The sequence below is a fragment of the Homo sapiens genome, chromosome 13 (assembly GCF_000001405.40).
Source record: "Homo sapiens chromosome 13, GRCh38.p14 Primary Assembly".
NCBI lineage: Eukaryota > Metazoa > Chordata > Mammalia > Primates > Hominidae > Homo > Homo sapiens.
In genome coordinates this window covers 64,307,193-64,332,337 of record NC_000013.11, presented here as the reverse complement: position 1 = coordinate 64,332,337, position 25,145 = coordinate 64,307,193, and the positions used below count along the sequence as shown (strand labels likewise).

At 31.6% G+C, this 25,145-nt stretch overlaps 1 long non-coding RNA gene across 1 annotated transcript; it reads right to left on the bottom strand.

The window, feature by feature from the left end:
• Positions 1 to 9,520: 9,520 nt before the first annotated feature.
• Positions 9,521 to 24,333, bottom strand: LOC124903237 (uncharacterized). Its single transcript, XR_007063923.1, has 2 exons — positions 24,182 to 24,333; positions 9,521 to 9,979 (listed from the first exon to the last, which is right to left on the bottom strand). It is a non-coding gene; the product is annotated as an uncharacterized LOC124903237 (long non-coding RNA).
• Positions 24,334 to 25,145: the final 812 nt, after the last annotated feature.

The following is a 25,145-nucleotide window of genomic DNA, read 5'->3' as shown; positions in this document are numbered from 1 at the left end:
ATAGTTTTTACAATTGTCATGACTCACTGTTTTCTAGTAAATGCAGAAATAGCTCTGAGGTTAATCTTCCATATCAAAATAAAATGAGCAGCCACCTGCTCTAATGGCTTCTCACTGCCACGAATGGGCTGACAGGCCAGAAGAGCAGCTGGAGGAGGAAAGGCCTTGTGATGCCAGTGGTTTGTTTACCTAACACTACTTCAACTCATTTTACTTTATTTTTCAAGTGGTATTTATGGGTATCTTCTGGATATGTATTTCCATTCAGAATATGCACAAAAAGTGTTACATCCATTTCTGACATTCAGAAATTTAGCAAGTTATTAATTTTCTTATATTTCAGTGAATATATATTTTTATTTAAAAATTAGAATAACATCAGGCATATAATTTTCTACCTGCCTCATTTCATTAAAAATATTATGATTTTATGATATTAAAATATTTTAGAAACACACATTACTGAACTCATAATATTCTGCCTTTGCCAATATGACTATTTAAGCAATGTGTATTTAGATTGCCTCGGTTTCTAGATGTTATTGTGTTTTAATGAACCCATTTAGCTATACATATTAGTACATATTTCTGAATATTATATAGGAAGTTAACCTATAAGCAAGTTTTTTTGGATGAAGATTTCTGAAAAATTCATAGGCTTGAAATGTACTTGCCAATTTGTCTTTCAGAAATTTTTAATCAATTTATACTCCCACCAGCACTGAATGAAACCATCCTCCAGATGTGTCATTCTGGATGCTATATTAGCTACTGATTTCTATCTTTTCCAAGTTAATGAGTAGAAAATTATACTACTTTCTTGTTAACATTTTTCTGTTTTTATTTTTTTATTTTTTGTGTGGTTACAATTTTATTACCTTTTAAAATGTATTTTATCATTTAGAGTGCCTATTCTTATTCCTCTGCCAATTTTTGTAGGATGCCTTATAGTCCCAACACATTATTATATAGATTATACATATACAAATAGAAAACATCAATATCATTTATCATAAATGTTCTAAATATAAGGATTTAATATATTGTAAACACTACATATGCTATATTTTACATCAAGCTATTTTTATATATGATTATTTAAACCACTGATTCCCTTTACGTTGGTCTTTTCCTTTATTTTATTTACAGATAACACTAGAAAAGCTATTTATATGCATATGATCTTTATGTTTTAGTATTTCAATGTGTACATATTTTAATTTTTACAATTAGGCTCATAGCCTACAGTTTTCTATCCAACTAATTTCATTTAATAAAAAATTGTGACTCATTTATGACATTAAATATTTGAGAATTGCATGATGTCTCTCTATTTCTGTCTGCCTCTTACCCTCTTACTCTCTCTTTCTCTTTTTTCTAACACACTTCACCCTCCCTTTAATTTTTGCTTTTGTTTTTGAGTTTGGTGGTGTGCGTGTGTGTGTATGTGTTTGTAAACCAAATATCTTTTAAGGAGGCATCATTATTTATCTGGAACATATTTGCATTCTGAAACACTCAATGTGTGTTTCACATTATGACTATGTGTTACCAGAATGTGATCTCACTGTATTTATTTTAATGATGTTTTCTCAAATTAATTTTAAAATAGTAATTTAATTATTTCCAATTTTTATTCTCAGGACACTTATGATTCTTGAGGTGGAAATTAATTAATACATATTCTTTTAATATCATGTCTTCATTTTCATATATTTGATTCTTTATTCTTCATTTGAGGGAACTTACTCAAGTTTATCAATCACATTGTCATCAGTGATTCTCTCCCATAGTATGTCTTATTCAATGTTTGTTAAAAGTTTTCCATTGCTTTTTAATTTCATTGTATGTATTTTATACATTTTACATTCACCTTGTCTTGTTCCTTTCATCTCTGTATGCAGCTTTATTTTTCTTGTCAATTTCTATTTTATAGAAGGTGTACATTCCTGTATATTATTGCATATCGGTGGAGATAGTTTTTACAATTGTCATGTCAATCAATATGACATAACTATTTATTTATATATATAGTTTTCCAGTTTTCTTCTGAGTATCGATATGTTTTCTTTGTTCTTCATTTTTATATGCAGATGCATTTCTTTTAAGTCATTCTCAAATAAAAATTTTCAGATTCTATATTTGTCAATACCCTCAATGAATCTCTAAATATTGCTTGAAATTCCTTTGAAAACATATTATTTAGGGAAAATGCAATGTCTCAGGCTAGATTGCTTGTGTCCATATCTGGACTTCATCCCTTATTGCTAGTGCTTTGGAAAAAAGGACTTTAAAAAATTCAAATTCTTGGCCTAAAGTCTTAATATGAATCATCCTGTCCTCACTTACTGGGGTGATTTTCCTACCAAAGTTTATAATTTTAGTTTTGGAGGTTTTATTGACTTTTATCTTCTTTGGGATTTTCTAGAAATTTTAGCCAGTTATGCCTAGACACATTAAAAAAAAATGGATACACTGAGTTTCACTTTAGATCAAATTATTATAGAAAATCAAAATGTCAAACACAAAAACAAAATCACAGAATGCTCTGCTTATGTGTGTGTATGGTGAGGTGGGGGCAAAGGGGGAGAGACATGGGCACTAATATTGAAAATCTAAATTATACTATAAAGCTATTGTAACCAAAACAGCATGGTACTGGCATAAAATAGGATAAGTGTCACCCGCCCACAGCAAACAAAGGTATTACAAGGTAGAGGAAAAGCATCTCCAGTTTTGGCGGACTTTTTGTTTTTTAATGACAGTTTAGCCATTTTCCAGCTTTTTAGTATTCAACAAACTCTAAAACTTGTCAGTAGTCTGGAAAATCAAAATATAAATATTTTATAAGAATTAGGGCCGGGGCGGTGGCTCACGCCTGTAATCCCAGCACTTTGGGAGGCCGAGGCGGGTGGATCATGAGGTCAGGAGATCGAGACCATCCTGGCTAACAAGGTGAAACCCCGTCTCTACTAAAAATACAAAAAATTAGCCGGGCGCGGTGGCGGGCGCCTGTAGTCCCAGCTACTCGGGAGGCTGAGGCAGGAGAATGGCGTGAACCCGGGAAGCGGAGCTTGCAGTGAGCCGAGACTGCGCCACTGCAGTCTGCAGTCCGGCCTGGGCGACAGAGCGAGACTCCGTCTCAAAAAAAAAAAAAAAAAAAAGAATTAGATAATATATATTCTATATATGTTATATATGTGTGTGTGTATATATACATATATGACATCTGACTTGTCATCTGACCCATAGAAGGCGATTAAATAATAGGTGCCATTGCTATTTCCTGGCATTCAGGCATATTCTAGGACATAGTCTAAAACTTTTCTCTGATGTTGTTTCCAGTTATTTTATGAACTCTTGATGAGTGTGGCTTACCTGGTTACATTGTTAGTTACATTCCATGAATTTAATCATTAATATCCCTGTTTCATGACAGAATAAGTACAGCACCTAATTAAAAAGTTTGTTTATAATGTAGTGGAAATTTATTTATTTCAATAATGACTATAGTAATTCAAGTGAAAAGCAATCCAAAGGGAACTTTATGAAAAGTGGAAAGTATATTATTAATAACAAAATTTTTAAAATTCATGTATGTGAATAAAGTTTGTACTACATAATTCTCAGTTTCTAAATGTGTGTTTTAAATGTTATTAAAAAATCAGAAGTTATGAGAATGTACTTTCCATTTAGACTTTTTTATTATTATATTATTTAATATATGATGATACAATAATATTACTCTATTAAAATGATATTTATAATACAATATAATAATAATAATGTCAATTTTAAAACATTTTTATTATTGACATTTTAAAAGCTTTTCTACTATGGGAATCAGATTCACTGGTTGTTTTAATAAATTCTTTCTTTTATTACATGTATTAACACTCTGAGCAAATGTTTTTAGTCCAACATTGACCAGTCATCGAAACAAATATAATTCAGATAACTGTGCTACATTTACATATTTTTAATTATTTATTTCTGCTTTGAGTAACTATCTATGACTTTGGAGCATATAGACATTTGCCATAGAACAGACAGAATTTCACGCTGTATGTACAGGCCAAACTTGTTTATGCCTTAAATGTCTTACAATATTTCAATAATGTCAGTTTTTTAGCAAAAGTGCTTTCATGTGTTTAAAGCCACACTTAATGTATTATGAAAATCCTGGCATGAAAAACTGAATGATTGATATTTAAAAGACAACCATGGAAGTCATTTCAACAATAACATGTTGAATCACTCTGCCTTCTGTTTTTAATAATAATCACTCCTATTGTAGTCCAGCAAGTATGTGCATGTGTACATATCTATTTGTATGCTGACACACACTTGTAAGATGTATATGTGTACATTAATTAGGGTCTAGGCACATTTATTGAGATTTATATTATAGGGAGGTTAGTTGTCATCTAGAAAGTCAGTATCTAAAACATAAAACCTATATAATAAATCTTATGGCATAAAACTGCTATATTCAAAGTATGAACAAAGTGTTGCAGAAAAAGGAGGTAGTAATTAATTGTGTCTCACGGGAGGCCATAACTTCAAATACGTTGGTCTTGACAGAAAAATGGCAATCTGCCAGAGTTAGAAATGGTAATGTGTGAAGGGCATTTTAGGGAGAGTGCATCTGCATGGCCAAAGGTAAGGCAGCAATGAAAGGGAATGTGTTTTGGAAATGGTGTATAATTTGCTGTGCCTGGGGAATAGTCTTAATTGTGGGTCAGAGGAAGGGCAGTAGTACTCTAGAAATGTAGATTGAGACACATTATGAAGGCTTTTAAATACCAAGCTGAGAACTGCAAATGTTATTCTCCACACCAAGGGGAGTTCTCAGTCATGGTTATCCCATGGTTGTGTTGGACAAAGTAAATTTTAGCTGGCATTCAAAGGACGCATTTAAAGGCAAGTAGCCAGTGAGAAAATTTAGAAAGTTATTGCATGATTTTGAACCCAAAAATAAGCAAGGGCCTTTAAAAGAAATCTAGGTAATTACCATAGGAATAGAGGGGATGATGTGAACGATATTTTATAAACTATATTAGGAAGCTTGTGGAAAAAAAACATACTCTGAAGGTCTAGATAATTATTATTTTCTCTCCTAGATACATATTTTCACCAAGGGCAAAGGTGTTTAAATTGTACTGTTTGGGACACTAGTGGTCCTGAGGAACTTCTGACATCAAACACATATGTATATATATACATGCATTCATATTTACATATATGCACACACAAATACATGCATTAGATACTTACATATTTACATAGTATGCTTCAAAGTATAAATTTTGTTAAAAAATCCTGATATAGCCAATTAGGCAATGTTTTTTACAGCTGCAGCTTATTAAGTTGCAAGATTCTTCATAAGGAGTAATTATTCTATTCTTCATAATAATTTAAATTTTGTGTTGTCTGTTTCTATAGGCACACATCGCTATTCTATACATCATTCTGTGGCATATTGCTCTATTGTTAGTGAGATAATAAAATACTTTCGATGGTCAAATACAAAATTAGGTCCCAGAGTGCTTTTTTAAAATGGTAGAATTTGATCCAACTTTTAGAGAGTGATATATAATCAAGGAGCTGAGAGGGCTCAAGGGTGTATCAGGCTAGGATAATAATAGCTATACTATTGTTAACTGTATAAATCATTGTTAATATATGTAAATTTGACTCAAATATGGCAGAATTATATACTTAATATTGTACTTTTTGTCTGCATTTATTAGATCTTCAAGTAGTACTATTAATAGAAATTTTAATGACAAAACTAAAAAGCAAAGAAGTAATAATACATTAATCCAAAATGAACCAAGCTATATTCAGCTTAACAAAGCATCATTAAATAAACTAAAACAACACAACCTATTTCCAGATTCCTTTTCCAATATTTGTCTTCAGTATTTATATTCACATACGAATAACTTGGATTTTTTGCCATTCTATAATGTTCTTCATCATGACTCTGATATACTTCTGTTATTGACTTAAATTAATATACATGCTTGTTAAAATCCCACTTATCCTGCAAGACCTGGCTCAGATTCTGTATTCTAAACATAGCCTTCTGAAATACCAACCAATAGGAAGCAATCTTTCTCTGTTCTGAACAACAGGAACATGTTGCAATTTTTATTATGCTTTCCAAATCTAATTTCTAACCCACACAGGCAAAAGATCTTGGTCTGTTTAACATATTGGATATTCTCAATACATCCACAGAGTGCAAGTTACACATGGCCATCAGATTGGTAAACCCTGCATATATAAATTTGTGTACACATACACATAATATCTACATCGCACTTGAATATAAAATCAATGCCTTTGATATACTACTTAAGTACAAATTATATAAGATTATAAACTATATGATAAAACTAAAATCCTCATCTAAAATATTTTCATTGCAAAGAAAAATAAGCTTTTAGAAGAATTGGTTTTCTTATTTTTATTTTCTGAATAACCACTCGCTACTGTTAGTGACATTGCAAATTGGCACATCAGTATTAATATTATTAATGCAATTAATTATTAGTCTTACCCATATAATTTACTAGAGAACATAATCTTAGAACCAGAGTTGAAATTATATTTCAGTATTATATTATTGATTGTTATTTTGTTTCTATATGCTGTGAGAATGAGGCTTCATAATTTGGAGATTTGTGGAACTTCAAATTACATACATTCTTTTATTCACCCTACATGAATTTTGACAACTCTTTACTTACAGAAAGTATTTCACCCACTCCACTCCATTCCAAAATATTTTGTTCTAGTTTAAACTCATATCTTACTTTGAAATGATACATAATAGATCCTCAAAGAATGCATAATAATAATATTGCATTATATCAAAAATCTGTCTGCATCATTGTGAATTTCCTAAATATGTCATCTTTTCTAATTTGTAATAAACAGGACATGTTTTATGACTGCCTCTTTGTTCTGAATTACCTGTATGGAAAGGTGCTATAAGTAGAAAGTAAGAAATAAGTGATTGTGTTGGAGTAAATGCACCTTTTAATATAATTCACATGAAGAGAATCTTAATAGCAAATGAAGTTACAATGATTACATAATGTCTTCTCAAAATGCCTTCCCTCTTGTATTTCTGGTAATGGTTTAAGACCTTTACAGTAACAAGAAAGAAAAGGTGAATAAACAAAGATAAAAATACCTTCTAGCAATAAAGAATATTGCTATCCTCCATAAGAACCGGATGAGTGGAAATTGCCTTATAACTTTTTTCACATTACAAGGAATAATTCTGGATTGAGGCTAAAAATGATAATATAAAAACTATCCAGAAAAAATAGATGTTGTAAGGATTTTATAGCTAAAGGTAAAACATAAATCTTGGAGGATCCACTGTGATCCAAAGCAGTTACTGCCAGATAGTATTATTAGTGCAGGTCTTAAAATAAAATTGAACTCATGCAAAATACTTTGAAATGACTTTGGAAAAGGCAAGTATCCTAACATGCATTGGAATAAGCATTTGAATATAGTAGGACTCTTTATTATTTGCCTTGAATTATTTGTAACACACTTGAAAATAATTAGCAGACTAAATATATTTTAAATGATTGACTATATTATCCAAGTGATGCATTAGCAATCACCAAAGTTTAAGTTTACAGGAAAAAAAACAATAAGTCAACTACAAGCTCTTTCACTATATGTTACTTATATCTACTGCATAGTAGATGGTCAATAATTATTTAGTGAATTCCATCAGATTGGCAAACCATGCACATAGAAATTTATGTACAGATATACACAATATCATATCACACTTGCATATCACATTAATGTCTTCAATATGCTATTTAAGTACATATGTACAAGATTATACATTATTTGATACAACTAAAGCCCTCATCTAAAATCTTTTCGTTGAAAATAAAAAAATAATATTTAAGAAGAATTGGTTTCATTATTTTTATTTTGTGAATAACCACTCAATACTGCTAATAACATTGCAAATTGAAGTTAAGCTTGTTAGATTTTTATAAGTAGGTTTATGCTTTATTTGTCCTTGAATAGCTAGTATTTATCTTATAATTAATATCCCCAAAGGGAAACTCTTGATTCTCATATTCCCATTCCCTTTTCCTATTTCAGTAAATGGCATAATTATCTCATCTATAAGCTCAAGCCAATAAACAAAACAACAAAAAAACCCACTCAAAACAAAGTCACTTTTCATTACTTTCTTTATCTAGCTCAATCAATTCTATCAGTTCTATCTAAAAAACCTAACAATAATAATCAATATTGTTAAAATGGCCACACTGACCACAGAAATCTACAGACTTAATACTATTCCTATCGAACTACCAATGTCATTTTTCATGGAATTTGAAAAAAACCCTTCTAAAATTCATGTGTAACCAAAAAAGAGCCTGAATAGCTAAAGCAATCTTAAGCAAAAACAACAAAAACAATAACAAAACCCCACAATCCCGAGCAGAAGCATCACGTTACTTGATATCAAACTGTAGTATAAGATATAGTAACAAAACCAGAATGGTACTTGTACAAAACTGAAACATATGTAAACCTAGGGATTATTAGAAAACAAAACACACACAAATACATAGATGATGGAAAACAATAGAGCACTCAGAAGTAAAGCCAAACACCTACAACTGTCTGATCTTTGACAAAGTTGACCAAAGTAAGCAATGGGGGAAAGCCTCCATAGCCAAACCAAAGCCTTCCACTCTCTGTGTATCTTAACCACCACCCTTGAAAAATCCATCACACATTTTGTCCTGAACCAATTTAATAGTCTTCAAGACTGATCTTTTACTTGTCCTTTTTATTTGAGTCTTGTTCTCTGTACTCTCTAAATTGCAAACAATATGATCTAATAATTATTACATAATAAATTAAGTAGATCATTGATTCTGTTGCTTAAAAATATCTGTGCCTTCCCTTTAGCCTTAGAATAAAATTCTCTCTGATCTCACTTTACAAGCTCGTACATAAAGTGCCTTCTGACTTTCTTCATCCTCTCCTATTCATCTTCTGATATGTCTCTCCTTCAGCCACATTGACTTTCTTTGTACATTAGTCTCCCCTTATCCCATGGTATTCATTCAAGAATTCCAGTGGTTGTCTGAAACCAGAGATAGTACTGAACCTCATATATACTATGTTTTTTCTATACATAAATGTCTATGATAACGTTTAATTTATAAATTAGGCACAGTAAGAGATTAACAAACAAGGTAGGATTTTTCACCTTCTCTTTGGCTTTTCTGAATTGCCAGAATCCCTACTGTTGCACTTTGGAGCCATTACTACTTGAACACGACAACTTAATATAGTTATTCTGATTTCCAAGCTGGCTACTAAGTGGGTAGCATGTATAGTGTGGACACTCTGTGGAGACACTGTGGAACCAGTGTGGAGACACTGGATGAAGGGAAGGTTCACATTCTGGGTGACATGGTTTTATTATGTTACTCAGAATGGTGTGCAATTTTGAATTTACAAATTGTTTATTTCTGGGATCTTCCATTTAATACTTTCAGACTGCAGTTGATCACAAGTAACTAAAATTACAGTAAGTGAAACCACAGATGAGAAGGGACAACTGTATTTAAAGTTGCAGTGCTTTTTCTGCTTCAGGATTGTGGCACTAGTTTCTGCTTCTTGGTAGAATGCTCTTTCCTCAGAGATTTGCATGGTTGACTTGTTATCTAGGTCTTACTGAAGAAGTCACTCTTGAAAAGTCTTTTCTGACCATACCCTCCTAGTCAGGCTATGAATACTCTCTATTATAGGTCCCAAATTTATTTTATGTTTAAGATATAACAATCGTCTACTTTCATAGCCATTTATTTATTTACTTCTCTACATTTTTGTCCAACTTTCCACTATGTAGGAGCTCCACACAGATAATATGTCTTGTTTCACAACTTTGAAGAATGCCAGAAACCTGTAAGAGAGTTAGAAAATGAATTTTAATGAGAAAGAGACTTAATAATTCCATTGGTAGTATAGAGGATGGACAGGTAATTATTGAAAATATATCGAATAGAGATTTTCCCTTTGAAAGCTGGTGTAATAGTCTAACTTTTTCTTTATGTGTGAGTGTTGACAGCTTTCAAGGACCACTCCCCTGTCTTCTGCCCTAGTCTCCCTTCTAGGCAAAAAAATAAGAAAGCATGACACCCTCTCCCTTTTTGCTGTGTGATGTTCAAGCTAAGCATGCACCTGTCTACTTGAAAGCTCTCACCCTGTTCCCAATCATAGTGAGACTACAGTCACTTGCTCCTTCATTCCCTGAAGTCACTCAAGCAAATTCTCTACCACCTTATGAATTGCCCTGTTCTTCACAGAAAGTCCTACTATGGGGTAATACATTTTTTCATACCCTCTTGTTGTGTGTCTGGATCATTGTATTGACATCTAACCTATTGATTAAAAGGGAGTCTATACCATTTTTCCATGGTGACCACAAGAACTGGTCCTCCCTTATTGAGAATTCTAACATCAAAACTTATCAATAGCATATCACTATAAAATATTCTGCTTATATTTTATGCAAAAATACAAGTTAACATAAATATTTTAAAATTATTTATTCCCTATTATATTCATAACTTCAGAGAATGTTGTTGATGTTTTCACTAAAAAATGTTTAGAGTTTTTTTTCACTTAAAGTAAATTTAGAGGCTCTTAGATTAATATCAAATCTGTGTGAGTTAATATTGTCTTAGTGATATTAATCCGAAGTTACCAAGATGTATATTGCATTTATGTGATTAGAATCATGGCTTTCTAATTATAGTGTATTTACTTGGTTGTTAAAATTAACATTTTGTGATGAAATGAATTAGTACTCATTATTAAACTGTGTAATCTAAATATTTGCCAAGAAATTACCAGATAATTAGTTCCTACAAACTGTATGTGGTTACGAAGATGTCATGTAAAAATAATATTCAAGAATTTATCATGGAAAGGAGAAAAAGTTGTCAAGATGTGATTTGAAAGTTCTATGTAATCACTTTGCTACAAGTGCATCTGAATATTATATACTTTATTACAATAATTTCAACTCAATAATATAAACATAAAATCGGAAAATAGTCACTTATGCTTATATTTAGTTATTGAAAGACTTCAGGAATATTTTTAAGGACTAGCATAGACTAGACTTTTAAAAAGACTGGTGTTAATCCCAATTGTGTTGATGAGCATTCATTACTACAGTTGACAAAACAACAGCACATACTTTACTCCATATGGTGAGGTAACACAAAGAAAGTATTGTTATTGTGTCTTAATTTGCATTTCTCTAGGAGGGAATGAGCTTCCTACAGGGAAGAGGAATGTACCCAAACGTGCATTATAGAGAAATATAGAGAAAGTTGTGGGAAGAATGACTTTCTTTCAATGTGGAAAATCCTTAGCTTCTATTAATTGCCTAATAACTTAACAAGGGTCAAGGCCAATATTGTTTGGTCTGTGTCCTGCAAACTCAGCCTTGATTCCTTATATTATATATTATATGTTTTAAGTATACAAAATATTTAAAATTATTTTTTATTCTGATTTACCTTTGTCTCATTGAAAGGCGTATTACTCATTTTTAAAATTGTATTGAATTTATGGAGACATTCATTTAGCAGATATTTATTGGGAGCCAAGTATATGTCAGTCACTATGCTGTGATCTGAAGATACAAAGTCATGAAAATCAACTTAGGTGGAAGATCTTTTCAAGAATTACAAAACACTGTTGAAGGAAATTATAGGTTACACAAACAAATGGACAAACATTTCATTCTCATGGATTGGAAGAATCAATATTGTTAAAATGGCCACGCTGACCACAGAAATCTATAGACTTAATGCTATTCCTATCAAACTACCAATGTCATTTTTCACAGAATTAGAAAATAACTCTTCTAAAATTTATGTGGAACCAAAAAACAGCCTGAATAGCTAAAGCAATCTTAATCAAAACAACAACAACAATAACAAAACCCCACAATCCAGAACACAAGCATTATATTACTTCATATCAAACTGTACTATAAAGTATAGTAACAAAACCAGAATGGTACTGGTACAAAACTGAAACATATGTAAACATAGGGATTATTTAAAAAACACACACACAGATGCACAGATGTTGTAAAACAATAGAGCACCCAGAAGGAAAGCCAAACACCTACACCTGTCTGATCTTTGACAAAGTTGACCAAAATAAGCAATGAGGGAAAGACTGCATAGTCAATAAATAATGCTGGGCTAGCTGGCTAGCCATATGTAGAAGGAAATTTGGACTCCTACCTTTAACCATATATAAAAATTAATGCAAGATAGATTAAACATTGAAATGTAAGACCTCAAACTATAAGAATCCTAGAAGAAATCCTAAGAAACAGCATCAGGACATCATCCTTGCAAAAAATTTGTTGTCACTGCAATAAAATCAAAAATAAACAAGTGGAACATGATTAAGCTAAAGAGCTTCTGCACAGCAAAAGAAACTGTCAACTGAGTAAACAGACAACCTACAGAATGGGAGAAAATATTCACAAACTATGATTCTTACAAACATCTAACTTCCAGAATCTATAAGAAACTTTTAAACAATTGAACAAGCAAAAAAACGAAAAACAATTAAAAATGGGTAAAATACATGAACAGACACTTCTCCAAAGAAGACATGTAAGTGGCCAACATACATATAAAAATGCTCATCATCACTAATTATCAGAGAAATGCAAATCTAAGCCACAAGGAGTTAACATTACACACAAGTCAGAATGGCTATTATAAATAAGTCAATTAACAACTGATTCTGGCAAGGCTTTGGAGAAAAGTGAGTGCTTATGCACTGTTAATGGGGATGCGAATTAGATCAGCCACTGTGGAAAGCAGTCTGGAGGTTTATCAAAGAGCTGAAAACAGAACTACCATTGAACCCAGTTATCCCATACTGGGTATATATCTGAAGGAAAATAAATTATTCTACCAAGAGGACACATGCAGTTGTGTGTTCATCTAAGCAGTATTCACAATAGCAAAGAAATGGTGTCAACCTAAGTGCCCATCAATGCTGCACTGGATAAAGAAAATGTGCTACATATACACCATGGAATATACACAGCCATGAAAAGCAATGAGATCATGACCTGTGAAGTAGTATGAATGCTGCTGGAGATAAATATCCTAAGCAAATTAATTCAGAAAAGCAAATAACGCATGTTCTCACTTGTAAGTGGGAGCTAAACCCTGAGTACTCATAGAAATAAAGATGGCAACAATCAGCGAGGCATGGTGGCTCACGCCTGTATTCTTATCACTTTGGAAGACTGAAGCAGGCGGTTGCCCTGAGGTCAGGAGTTTGAGATCAGGCTAGCCAACATAGCAACACCTCATCTTTACTAAAAATACAAAAATTAGCCAGGTGTGGTGGCAGGCACCTGTAATTCCAGCTACTCAGGAGGCGGAGGCAGGAGAATCACTTGAAATGGGACTTGGAGGTTGCAGTGAGCCAAGATCACGCCACTGCACTCCAGCCTGGGTGACAGAGTGAAACTCCATCTCAATAAATAAATAAATAAATAAATAAATAAAGCAACAATAGACACTGGTGACTATTAGAGGAGAGAGAGAGGGAGGGAGACAAGGATTGAAAAACTACCTATTGGATACTATGCTCAGTACCTGGATGATGGGAACAATTATACCTCGAATCTCAGCATCATGCAATATACCAAAGTAATAAACTTGCACATATACACCCTGAATCTAAAATAAAAATTGAAATAATAATAAATTGTCCAGGTACAGTATCTCATGCCTATGATCTCAGCACTTTGGAAGGCCAAGGCAGGAGGATCACTTGAAGCCAAGAGTTGAAAACATGTCTGGTGAATAAAGCAAGACACCTGTCTCTACAAAAATTATATAAAAAAATAGCTAGGCATGGTATTGTGCACCTGTAGTCCCAGCTACCTGGGAGGCTAAGACAAGAGGACTGCTTGAGCCCAGGAGTTCAAGGCTGCAGTGACTTATGATTACACCACTGCACTCCAGCCTGTGCAACAGAACGTGATCCCATGTCTTAAAAAGTAATAATAAATAAATAAATAAATGCACCTTCAGAGTGACAGTGTTTAACACATCTGACTCAATAAGCCAATACAAAAAGAAAAAAAAGAATAGATTGCTAACATAGAAATTATTTTTTGACCCTAATACAACTAATTTAAAAATCAATTTTTAAAAGATACAAAAGCTCACTTGGAAAGTCAAAATGAAACATATATGATGCATAAGTCAATTAAAAATAATACTGAATTTCAGAAATACTTAGAACTACATGATGTTGAATATATATTATCATTGGTTGCTTAAATTCTAGGGATGTAAAAACATGGGAGCCTTACACTCTAAAAGGAAAAAACAATGTTTAGTATAAAAAAGCTGAGTATCCAATAAGATAAAAGAATAAGAATGCAAAGCCAAGTTGAAGGAAATAAACTATAAAATAAGTTTAATCTCATGGGTGAAGATAACATTGCTAACTCATAAAGGATTTTTAAAGATTAATTGAATGAATTGTAATATTTAGATCAGTTCCTGGTTGTATGAAGTTCTCAGCAAATGTTTCCTAATATTAAATTAAATTAAAAGGAAACAAGCATTTTTAAAGTAAGCATTCCACACAGACCTTAATTTAACTGATATTACTATCTAGTGTAATGGAAGACTTGATGGAACAAACTTAAAAATGGGTGCTGGCATCTAAGACTGGTTAAATAATAAATGCAGCAAAAAAATGAAATAACTAGGGGAAACATAAGTATGAGGAGAGGAAGAAAAATGTGAATAATGTAGGAAGACTGATTGAGAAAACTTTAAACCAAGATTTGCTTTTGAAATTACACTTTTTTTGCTGGCTTTTAAAAATAATCCTACAATGTAAGCAATACTATCCCATTTTACAGCAGTGGAAAATAATACCGAACAGTGTGGTTTACTCAAGGTAAGGAACTTCAAAAGTAATAGAAGTATTGGAATTGAAACCACATGTTTTAACTCATGCTATCAGTCCTTCCAAAACCTCACAGTTTAAGAAAAACAAAAAATCTATGACTTAAAATTTGAACGATTTTGGAACTATCAGTAGAGATTAAGATATTTTCTCTAAAAACATGTCTTAGAAAGCTCATTCCATTGAAAACAAATGAGTAACTAAAATCAATGACATTTTAAGAACAATGACCATCCACAGATATTTAAAATAACATTTCCTACTAAAAGAAACCAAAGGCATTTGGAAACACGGCTTATTCCATGTCTTGCTGGTAATATAAAATTTATTGATATGGTATGGTAGACAACAAGCAACTATTGAAAAATAATTGCTTCTTGACAAAAGGACACTAGAAGTCCCACTGGCCAAAGATAGGATAACACAAACAACAAAAAGATTAATGCCTATAATTGACCATATTTAATATGTATGTTGATATGGTTTAGCTGTTTCCCCACCCAAATCTCATCTTCAATTATAGTAATCTCCATGTGTCAAGGGTGGTGCGGGTTGGAGATTATTGAATCGTGGGAGCAGATTCCCTTGTACTGTTCTTGTGATATTGAATAATCCTCATAAGATCTGATGGTTTTATAAATGGGAATTCCCCTGCACAAACTCTCTTGCCTGTAGCCATGTAAGAGGTGCCTTTGCTTCTTCTTTGCCTTCCGCCATGATTGTGAGGCCTCCCCAGCCATGTGGAACGGTGAGTCCATTAAACCTCTTTCCTTTATAAATTACCCAGTCTTGGGGGTGTCTTTATTAGCTGCGTGAGAACAGACTAATACATATGTGTAAATGTATATGCATGTATATGCATTATTTGCATGTGTTAATATGGCATAAAGTCATAATTACTAGAGCAAGTTATAGTTAGGCAGACTGAGTAAAATAAACAATTCAGGAAGTATTCTTGTTGTTCTTTATGATTAAACACCTCTATGTTTTTCATTTTTCACAGATAAATGTTTTCTTTTAGTCACTACCTGAGTGAAATTTGTACATGTACAATACATATGTACATATACTTCAAAATGACCTACTTGCTATTACTTTACTTTAGATTAATAATTCCTGAACTGTGACTTAATATTTTTGCTGGGTCATTGGCTTAAAAATCAATTAAGATTTTGTTTGAAAATCTAATTCCAAATCCTTTGTGGGATGAAACTTTCCTAGGAATCAACATTTTCTGTCAACTTTGATAATGATTGTTTTTTAATGAATGTTTGACAATTGAAAGGTTGTCATTAATTGTACAATGATGAAGAAAAGGGTTATTTTCCTAAAATGAATTTTAAAAATAGAATATTTCTTCATAATTTTTAATTCTCCATGTAACCCTGCTAGCTAAATTCAATTTTATTGTTTATTATCTAGAAGCCACATCTTTTGTTTTAACTGGTAACTGAAATTTTAAAAATTACTTTTCAAATGGAATGTTTTTCATATGCAATCATTTTGAAAGGTATTTTTTAAAAGAAAAATGAACATATAGAAACTTAATGAATCATATTTAATGTATACTAGTAAAAATGTTGTATTGACTTATCAAGACAGTAGATTATGAAACTATATAGGTAAACTAAGTTTATAAATGCATTATTTTATAAATGAATACAGGAATAACATAAACTAAATTGACAGTTTCTTTATTCCATAAATAAGTTGGCTTATGTCGGATACAGATAGATTTAATGCTCATTTTTTTGAAACTTAAGAAAGAAGAGATGTTTTAGATGGAAATTATTGGTAGATTAGAATTAAGATAAAAATATTTTATTTGCTGAAGTACTTGCCTCCATTCTGTGTTTTTTAAAAAACTGAAATATGTGTGTATGCATATTTATCTATCTATCCAGCTAGAAAAGTGTATTCCTATATAGCATGCTATTGAATGATGCTGGACTAATTCTTAAATGGAATCCACTACAGGAAAAGACAGCTAGCCAGACAGCTTGGAAAATATCTGCACGTCTATCACTCAGCTAGCCATTCAAATGAAAAATCCTCCTCGTGGCAGGTGAACAGCCTGGAGGTTGTACAGTTTGTCATAGTAGATAAAGGCTTTTTTTCATATTGAATTAATTTTTACACAGCAATAGCAAAAGATAGATTGAATATATCACATGAGCCCAGAGTATCATATATGTTTTAATGACTTAAAAAATTCTCTTGAGTATACTCACAATGTTGTTTTTGTTCTTCCCTCTGATGACATTTTATGTAGTGCATTTAATGAGAATATAATATTTACCAAAATTTCTAGTAAACATTATGAAAAAGGAACAGCCCATAGAAAAAGAAATCAAGCCTTAGATGGCAAACAGGATGACATATTAGTTCCTTGTGACACATTGAGGGCAAATATTACTAAAAAAGACCCAGTTACAAAGCTGCACAGTCTATTCTCCCATCCTTATTCTATTCCATAAAGGGAATTATTCTCCAGGGACATCTACTGAAAGCATGTAAAAAAGAAAATGAGGTTAGTTTTATTAATTTACTTTCTTCACAACTGAATAGCCATAGCTTTATTCTCTCATTCCCCTTGGCACTACTTTGTTCTTTTCTTTAATAACAGTAAATGTGAAAAATCAGGATTTGTTTTATTTGGCTTCATTTCACTGGGAGTTCTTCAGGGAGAAGAGATTTGAAACTATTCACCACAATGTATAGGATATCTGGATTCATTTTACTGATGATGCGGTATCATTGTAAATGACTCACTTTGGAATGTACGGCTTTATTAGAGCATTAAGTCTTGAACTCCTGACTCCCTTTGAGTGGTGCTGGCAATTGCTTAGGAAGAATTGCTGAGATCTCTAAGTGTATTCCTTTTTACAATGTTCTGTTGTCAGTGAAAATAGAGCTTGTTGGCAAATATAGTTAGGGCCATGAAAAGTAGAGCAATTGGGATAAGCATTCCATCATACACTCTATCATACACAAATATAAGTGCTTTTTTTTTCTACAAAGAAGCAAATTCACATGATAACCAGAATATCTAGATGAAAGTCTTCAGCCTTCCTCCAATGTAAGTGCTAAGAATGTAATAATAATTAAATTGGTCAAAATATGTATTCAGATGTCATTATGGTGCAATATGAGAGACTTTTATATAATGAACAAGAAAGCACAAGTGAGGTATACACATACAGGTGTATACACGTGTGTCTATACACATACAGGTGTATACACGTGTCTATACACATACAGGTGTATACATGTGTCTATACACATATATATATAGTGGTGAAAGAAAGAAAAGTCACAATAAGTGTTGAGACAAACTTTATACTGAGAATTGGTGAGTTTTTTATGAAACAACTTTTAAGTGGAGAATTAAAGTTTAGAATAAGTCATCCTTGCAGAATGAAGTAAAGTCTTTTTATGCAAAAGTGGCAACATACATAAAATCCCTGAATTTTAAAACCTACTACCACAGAATTTCAGAAATGTTCAGTAGAGTATGAGAGTAATATCACACATCTACATTTTTACTCACCCATATCTATCAATTACTTTCTAAAGGCTAGGCACTTTGGTAGGCATGAAAAATGTATTAACTAAAGGCTAAAAACTTGTACTTATGGGGCTCCTACCATAGCAGAAAACAGAATAGAAGAATAAACAAAGGAGTAATTAGTGAGTTATTAAAGTAAAACAAAGTCCTTAAATTTGTTGCTTCTCAGTTTGCTCAACAATAAATGAAGCATTAACATTATTTTGTGAAGTTAAGAAATCTACAATCAGGATAAAGGTATGGTCATTTAAAAAATTGTATGACACATTACTTCATGTTTTTAATTTTAATATTCCTGCGGAAACTCTTATAGTTTCTTATAAACTCCTATATAAAATGCAAATAGACACTAAAAATTGGTTTGCTATCTTTTTGTAAAATCAGAATTTAAATTCAGCATTTTGAATTTTGAATAAGAACATAGTTCCTTTTGATAGTTTTCTACTATGAAAGCACAGATTACTGCTCACAGTGTTTGTAGACATTGAAAATAAATGTATTCTTAAGAGAAACAAACATAATATCTTTAAAAAATAATGATTTATTACAGATAAGGCTAAAGTTCTCTTTTTCTCCAAACTAGTTATCTACTACTTGCCCAGTTATTAACCATTTGAACACTCTGCCAGATGTTTTTTATGCATATATATTTGTAAACATATGCTTATAAAATACAGAGAATGTGTAGTGATATTTTATATTTGTAATGTATATTCACCTTACTTTGAATACATTTACAGCAATATGTTATGGTTGTCATATGACGTCCTTACAATTTTCTATACATAATGCTGTTATTCAATTAAAATACATTAGTCATGCAAAGAAAAGAGCAACACAAAATGTAAAATAAGGAAAGAAAAAGACAGTAGAAAAAGATCCATAATAATACAGATATTAGAATGAGCTGATAAGGTTTTTAAAATAACTGTTGCTAATGTTAAGTGTTACAGAAAGTAGATGAAAAGGTGAACAATTTCACTAGAGAATTAGGCTTCAGAAATTGTGATTCTAGATTACAAAATATAAAATCTAAAATTAAAAATTTGCTAGATACCTTTATCATTACATAGTGACCATCTTTGTCTTTCATAGTTTTTGTCTTGACATTTATTTTGTCTAAGTATAGCAACTCCCACTCTTTTTCCTTTCCCTATGTCTATATCAAAATATTTCATGTTCCCCATAAATATATACACCTACTATGTACCCAAAAAATTAAAAGAAAAAAACTTTAAAAAATATAAAAACAAGAATTTGTTAGATGAAATTAAAAGTAGATAAAATATAATCGAAGGCAAGCGCATAAAACTGCAAAATGGTCACGATAAACTTCCAAAACAATATACTGAGAAGACAAAATATGATTAAAAACATTGGAAACAGCAATCGAGACACAAGAGTAATTGTAGGTTCAATATTCACGTAATTGTGTTCCACAAGGAGAGAGGGAAAATAATGGAAAAAAATCATATTTTAAAAATGGCATTTGTTTTCTAAACATATGAAATACATGAATTCAGGTTCAAAAAGCTCGCCAAACTTCAAACAGAATGTGCTGAGTCATGAAAAGTAGAATTAAAGGAGAAATCTTAAAAATAGAGAGGAAAATAAATAACTGAGCAATGGTAAGAATAAAAGCCAACTTATCAACAAAAGTATGTAATTTTGGATGCCAATTGATTGAATTACTTAAAGTTCCAAATGTTAGCCTACTGGAATTTCATACCTAGCAAAAATGTCTCCCATAAGAGATAAATAAGTTTTCTACTAAATACAACAGAAGTTGTCACCAGAAGAACTTTACCTGAAAGAAAGACTAGCGAAAATATATTCAGAATGAAACATGGTTATAGAAAGGAATAAAGAACAACGAAAAAGGTAAACCAGTGCATAAAGTTAATGGGCACTGTTTGAATATTGACTTTTAAAACAGTGATAGTAATATATCGTGAGGTCTAAAATATATGTGGAAATTGAAATCATTGTAAAAATTACAACCAGGAAAATTATGTTATCATGTTTTAATATTCCAGCATTATTGAAAGGTAGTAAAGGTATAATTTGGGTTAAATTGTATTACTTTAAAAATAAACTCTACAATCTATTGGAGAACTAATAAAATAATAGAAAATGAATGTGTAAGTACATTTCAACCACAATGCAATATACTACACACTCAAAAGAATGACTAAATGAAAAAGACAAAAAATGCCAAGACAATAAGGATGTTAAGGACTTTCTTCACTCTTACAATCCACCAGTTTGGAAAAATTCTTTGGCAAGAGATCTACTAAAGCTGAACATAGGCAGGCATACCCTATGAACCAAAATTTATACTCCTAGGAATACAGCCAGGAAATACACATACATTTATGCATCATAAACTAGTCACAATAGTCAAACACTGGGCTTGGACATTGAGATATACTTATAAAATGGACTACTAAACAATGGACATAATAAGGTGCAATTGTTCACAACAAGGATGACTCTTACATTTATTTCATCAAAGGAAGCCAGAAAAATTTTCATGTATTTTATAATTCTGTCACGTAAAGTTTTAAGATTAGCATGACCAGTTTATTATTTTGAAAGTCAGTATACTGCTAGCGTTTATTTAGAGTGAAGGCCTGCTGGCAGTAGCTTGCTAGGTATCTGATGGATGTTCAGACATCTAATGGGGTTCTGGTGACATTCTTTTATGTTCACTTGTTGAAAAGTTATTGAGCTTTTCTGTATGTATAATGTAGTTTACTGATATTGACAATTCTAAAGAAAGAATTTTTACACTCTTTACATTTTGTGTTTATCAAGGAAAAACTGTTTCCATCTGTTTCGGGTTACTTAGAATTATTTGTAGTCATTTTGATTATTGTAAGTCATGAATATCTGTTAAAATGTAATAAATGTCTTCTCACCTAATACAGAGGTTATATGGATTTTCTTTTTTGTTTCATAATATAGTAAAAAAATCATAGTTTTTAACATGTAAAACCTTTTTTGAATGCTTGAAAACACTCAAATTTATTTTGATAGGCTACTTTGTTTGATTTGCTCATATTTGATAATTTTTTATGTTCCTATCCTTTCCTCATCATTTTGGTAACTGAATTTACACTGAAAACACAGTACAAATAGTGCTTCTTCCTGTTACTATTTTTTTCTCCGGAATATATTGTATAAAAAGGAATTATCACTTCATTGAAGCATTGGTAGAATTCACATTGTAAACCTTTTGACTCTGTTTCTTTTTTGTGAGTGTAGTTTTCATTACTATTTCAATGTATTGTACTATAAATGGTCATTGAACCTTATGTTCTCTTCACCCAGGCCAATATTTGGTTCTAAATATTCTGTAAATTTAAATTTAATTTTTTTGATATAAATCATTTTAAAAGTGTGTTTGTGACTATCTAAATGTTTCAGTTAGTTTTAGTGCTAGCTTTATATTGCTGATATCTAATTTTATTAAATTTGTGTTATCGACTATGCTGTTAACTTTCTAAAATGTGTCCAGATTGTTTTTGTTGAGCAATGTCACTTTTACTGGTCCATATTTGAAAAAAGATGTGTATTTTCTTTGCTGAGTGGCATGTATACATTTTACCAAGGGTCTGTTGTGTCTAAACTGAAATTATCTTTATTTCACCATTTTCTTGAATTATAAATTAGCAGGGTACAAAATGTTGGTTTGAGGATTATTTTTGTCAGAATTTTTCATTACCTGACTTCTGTGTCTTTAACTAAGGTGTCTTAGAGTCAAATTGTGTCTATGAGGTCAAGGTGCCTAGAAGGTCAAATTATTTTCTTATGCCAGTTATCTATCTTTAAATTCTAATATTTTTAAAAGACATTTTCTAGGTATTTGGTGATCTGACATTTTATTACAATATGTATGGGTGATATCTTTTTATATCTTTCTGATATTCACTGTGGTTTCCAAATAGGTCATTTGAGTGTTTAAAGAATTCCCAAAGTGCTAAGCCACTATATTTTCGAACATTGCCTTTCTTCTACTGTTTTTATTTTCTCTTCTTATGAAATTCATTCCTGTTATATATATATTATATCTTCTCATTCTGCCATCTACACCTGTTAAATTTCTTTTGCTATTTTCTTTAAGTTGTCTTTCAGTTACATTTGAAAATAATTTCTTTAAATATATCGTCTAGTTTACTAGTTATCTTGTCATCTATTTTATTTATCTGGTCAGTTTTATTTCAGTAATCACAATTTTTGTTTCGGAAAATCCTTTTTCTCCCCTCCAACTATTCCTGGTTCTTGTCCTTTTTGATACCCATTTGATCCTTATTTTTATATGTAATGCCTTACATTTTTATTCATTTTTATTCTTGCTCATTTTATATTCCGGCTTTAACCTAACCATTCCAGTATCCCAGTATCTAAGGTTATCAAGCCTATGATAGTACCGCTTTTTGTTTCTTTGAATTCTATTTATGTTGACTCTATCCCTTATCTATTTAGTTTTCTTTAAAAAATTATTAATTTGTATTTGGGTTAACTTCTCAAGTGGAACATTTTAGAGATTCCTTGTTTTACCTCTAGTTTATTGGCTTGAGTTTCCTAGGTCACAGGTGAGGATTTTTTCACTCACACTTTTCATGAGAAGGAGATTGGCAATTTCATTTGTTTTTAAAGATTTTGTTTTATAATATTTGTGATTGCCATAATATTTTCATGAGTGAGGTCTCTTTTTTAGTTTGAGTCCTTATTATTTACACATTTCTCACTTGTTCATTAAACAGTCATATAAATATTCAAAAGTCTATGATGCTCAACAGATGCTGAGAAACACATTAATTTATTAGATATTTGTTGAGTTCTTAATATTAGTGAACTTCTCATTGTTTTTGGTGATGAAATTGTCGTGATTGACAATACAGTCACGGTCTCAGTTTTAATCATCTTAGAAACTGAAATACACAGTAAACAAATAAAGATTATCTAACATAATTGTAATAGCACAAAAGAGAAATACAAGGGTACAACAATAGAGCAACTTGACCAAGGATGGGGAGGTGTCTGATTAGATCATATTTTCTTAGTGAAAAGAAAATTGAGATCGAATTCAGGAAGTAAAAGAAGCAGTCAAGGCAGAGAACAAAGCATTTCTACGTTTAGAAAACAGAAAGAGGGTTATTGTGGATGTAATGCTAGAAATGAACAACTATAGACTGAGTGAGGTAGAGAAGGGCAAGATGAAACACAGGTGGCAACCAGAGGCCTTGTGGACTGCATTAAAAATTTGCACTTTATTTTGAGTTGAATAAGTAAAAATTGATGTGTTTACCTAGGGAATTTAACATAGTTATATTTCTAATATATATCTTACAATATAAAAATACATATATGTACATACCATTTTATGTATAATTTATAACATACATATATCTGTATTTATATGTATGTATACATATAAACATACATATATAAATGTAGATAAATGTTAATGGAATAAATTCAACATTATCTCTAACTTCAAGTGACTCCCTGATATGGTTTGGCTGTGTCCCCACCCAAAAATCTCACCTTAAGTTGTAATCCCCATAATGCCCACATATCATGGGAGAAACCAGGTGGAAGTAACTGAATCATGACGGCAGTTTCCCCCCATGCTGTTGTCATGGTAATGAGTGAGTTCTCAGGATATCTGATAGTTTTTTAAGTGTTTGGTAGTTCCTTCTGAGTTCATTTTCCTTCCTGCTGCATTGTGAAGAAGGTGCCTCGCTTCCCCTTCACCTTCTGCCATGATGGTAAGTTCCCTGAGGCCTCCCCAGCCCTGCTGAACGGTGAGTCAATTAAACTTCTCTCCTTTATAAATTACCCAGTTTTGAGAAGTTCTTTATAGCAATGTAACAATGGACTAATACACTCCTTTGTGAAGTAAATGAAATAAACAGTGGGTGTTTCTGGAGATGCAAGTACCAGAATAAAATATTAAAAGTGTATTGTGAGATTTTGTGTGTGCATGAGTGTGTAGGTATGAATGCATTTTCAGTGGAATAAGAAAAAGTGAAAAAAGGGCAGAGAGTATACATGTCAGCTGCTAATCTTCTTGCTAAAAAAGAACAATATTGAGTAAAACTTTGTCTTCAATAATGCAAGGCTTAAATGATTCAACATCAAAACTCATTATTGCACTTGTTAACAGAAATTCAATCAATTTTCTGACTATTTTGTAATATCCAGATATTTTGTTATAGTGCATGAGACAGTTGGATGCTTTGATACCTTTTTCTATTTATGCTTTATATTTATTCCTTTTGGTTATGATACGAAGCTTGTTTAGGGGTAATAGTTTTCTCTGGTATTTTGACATACAGATATGGACTCACTTTTTTTCCCGTGAAAATGAAAATCAAAATACGATTCCAACTTTTGATATTTACAAATTTTTTCCAACCTTACCTTTCCCTTCTATGTTCCTCTTTCTTACCTTGAAAATTAAATCAGACCTTAATTTTATAAAACTTCTGAAAATTAATGTATATAT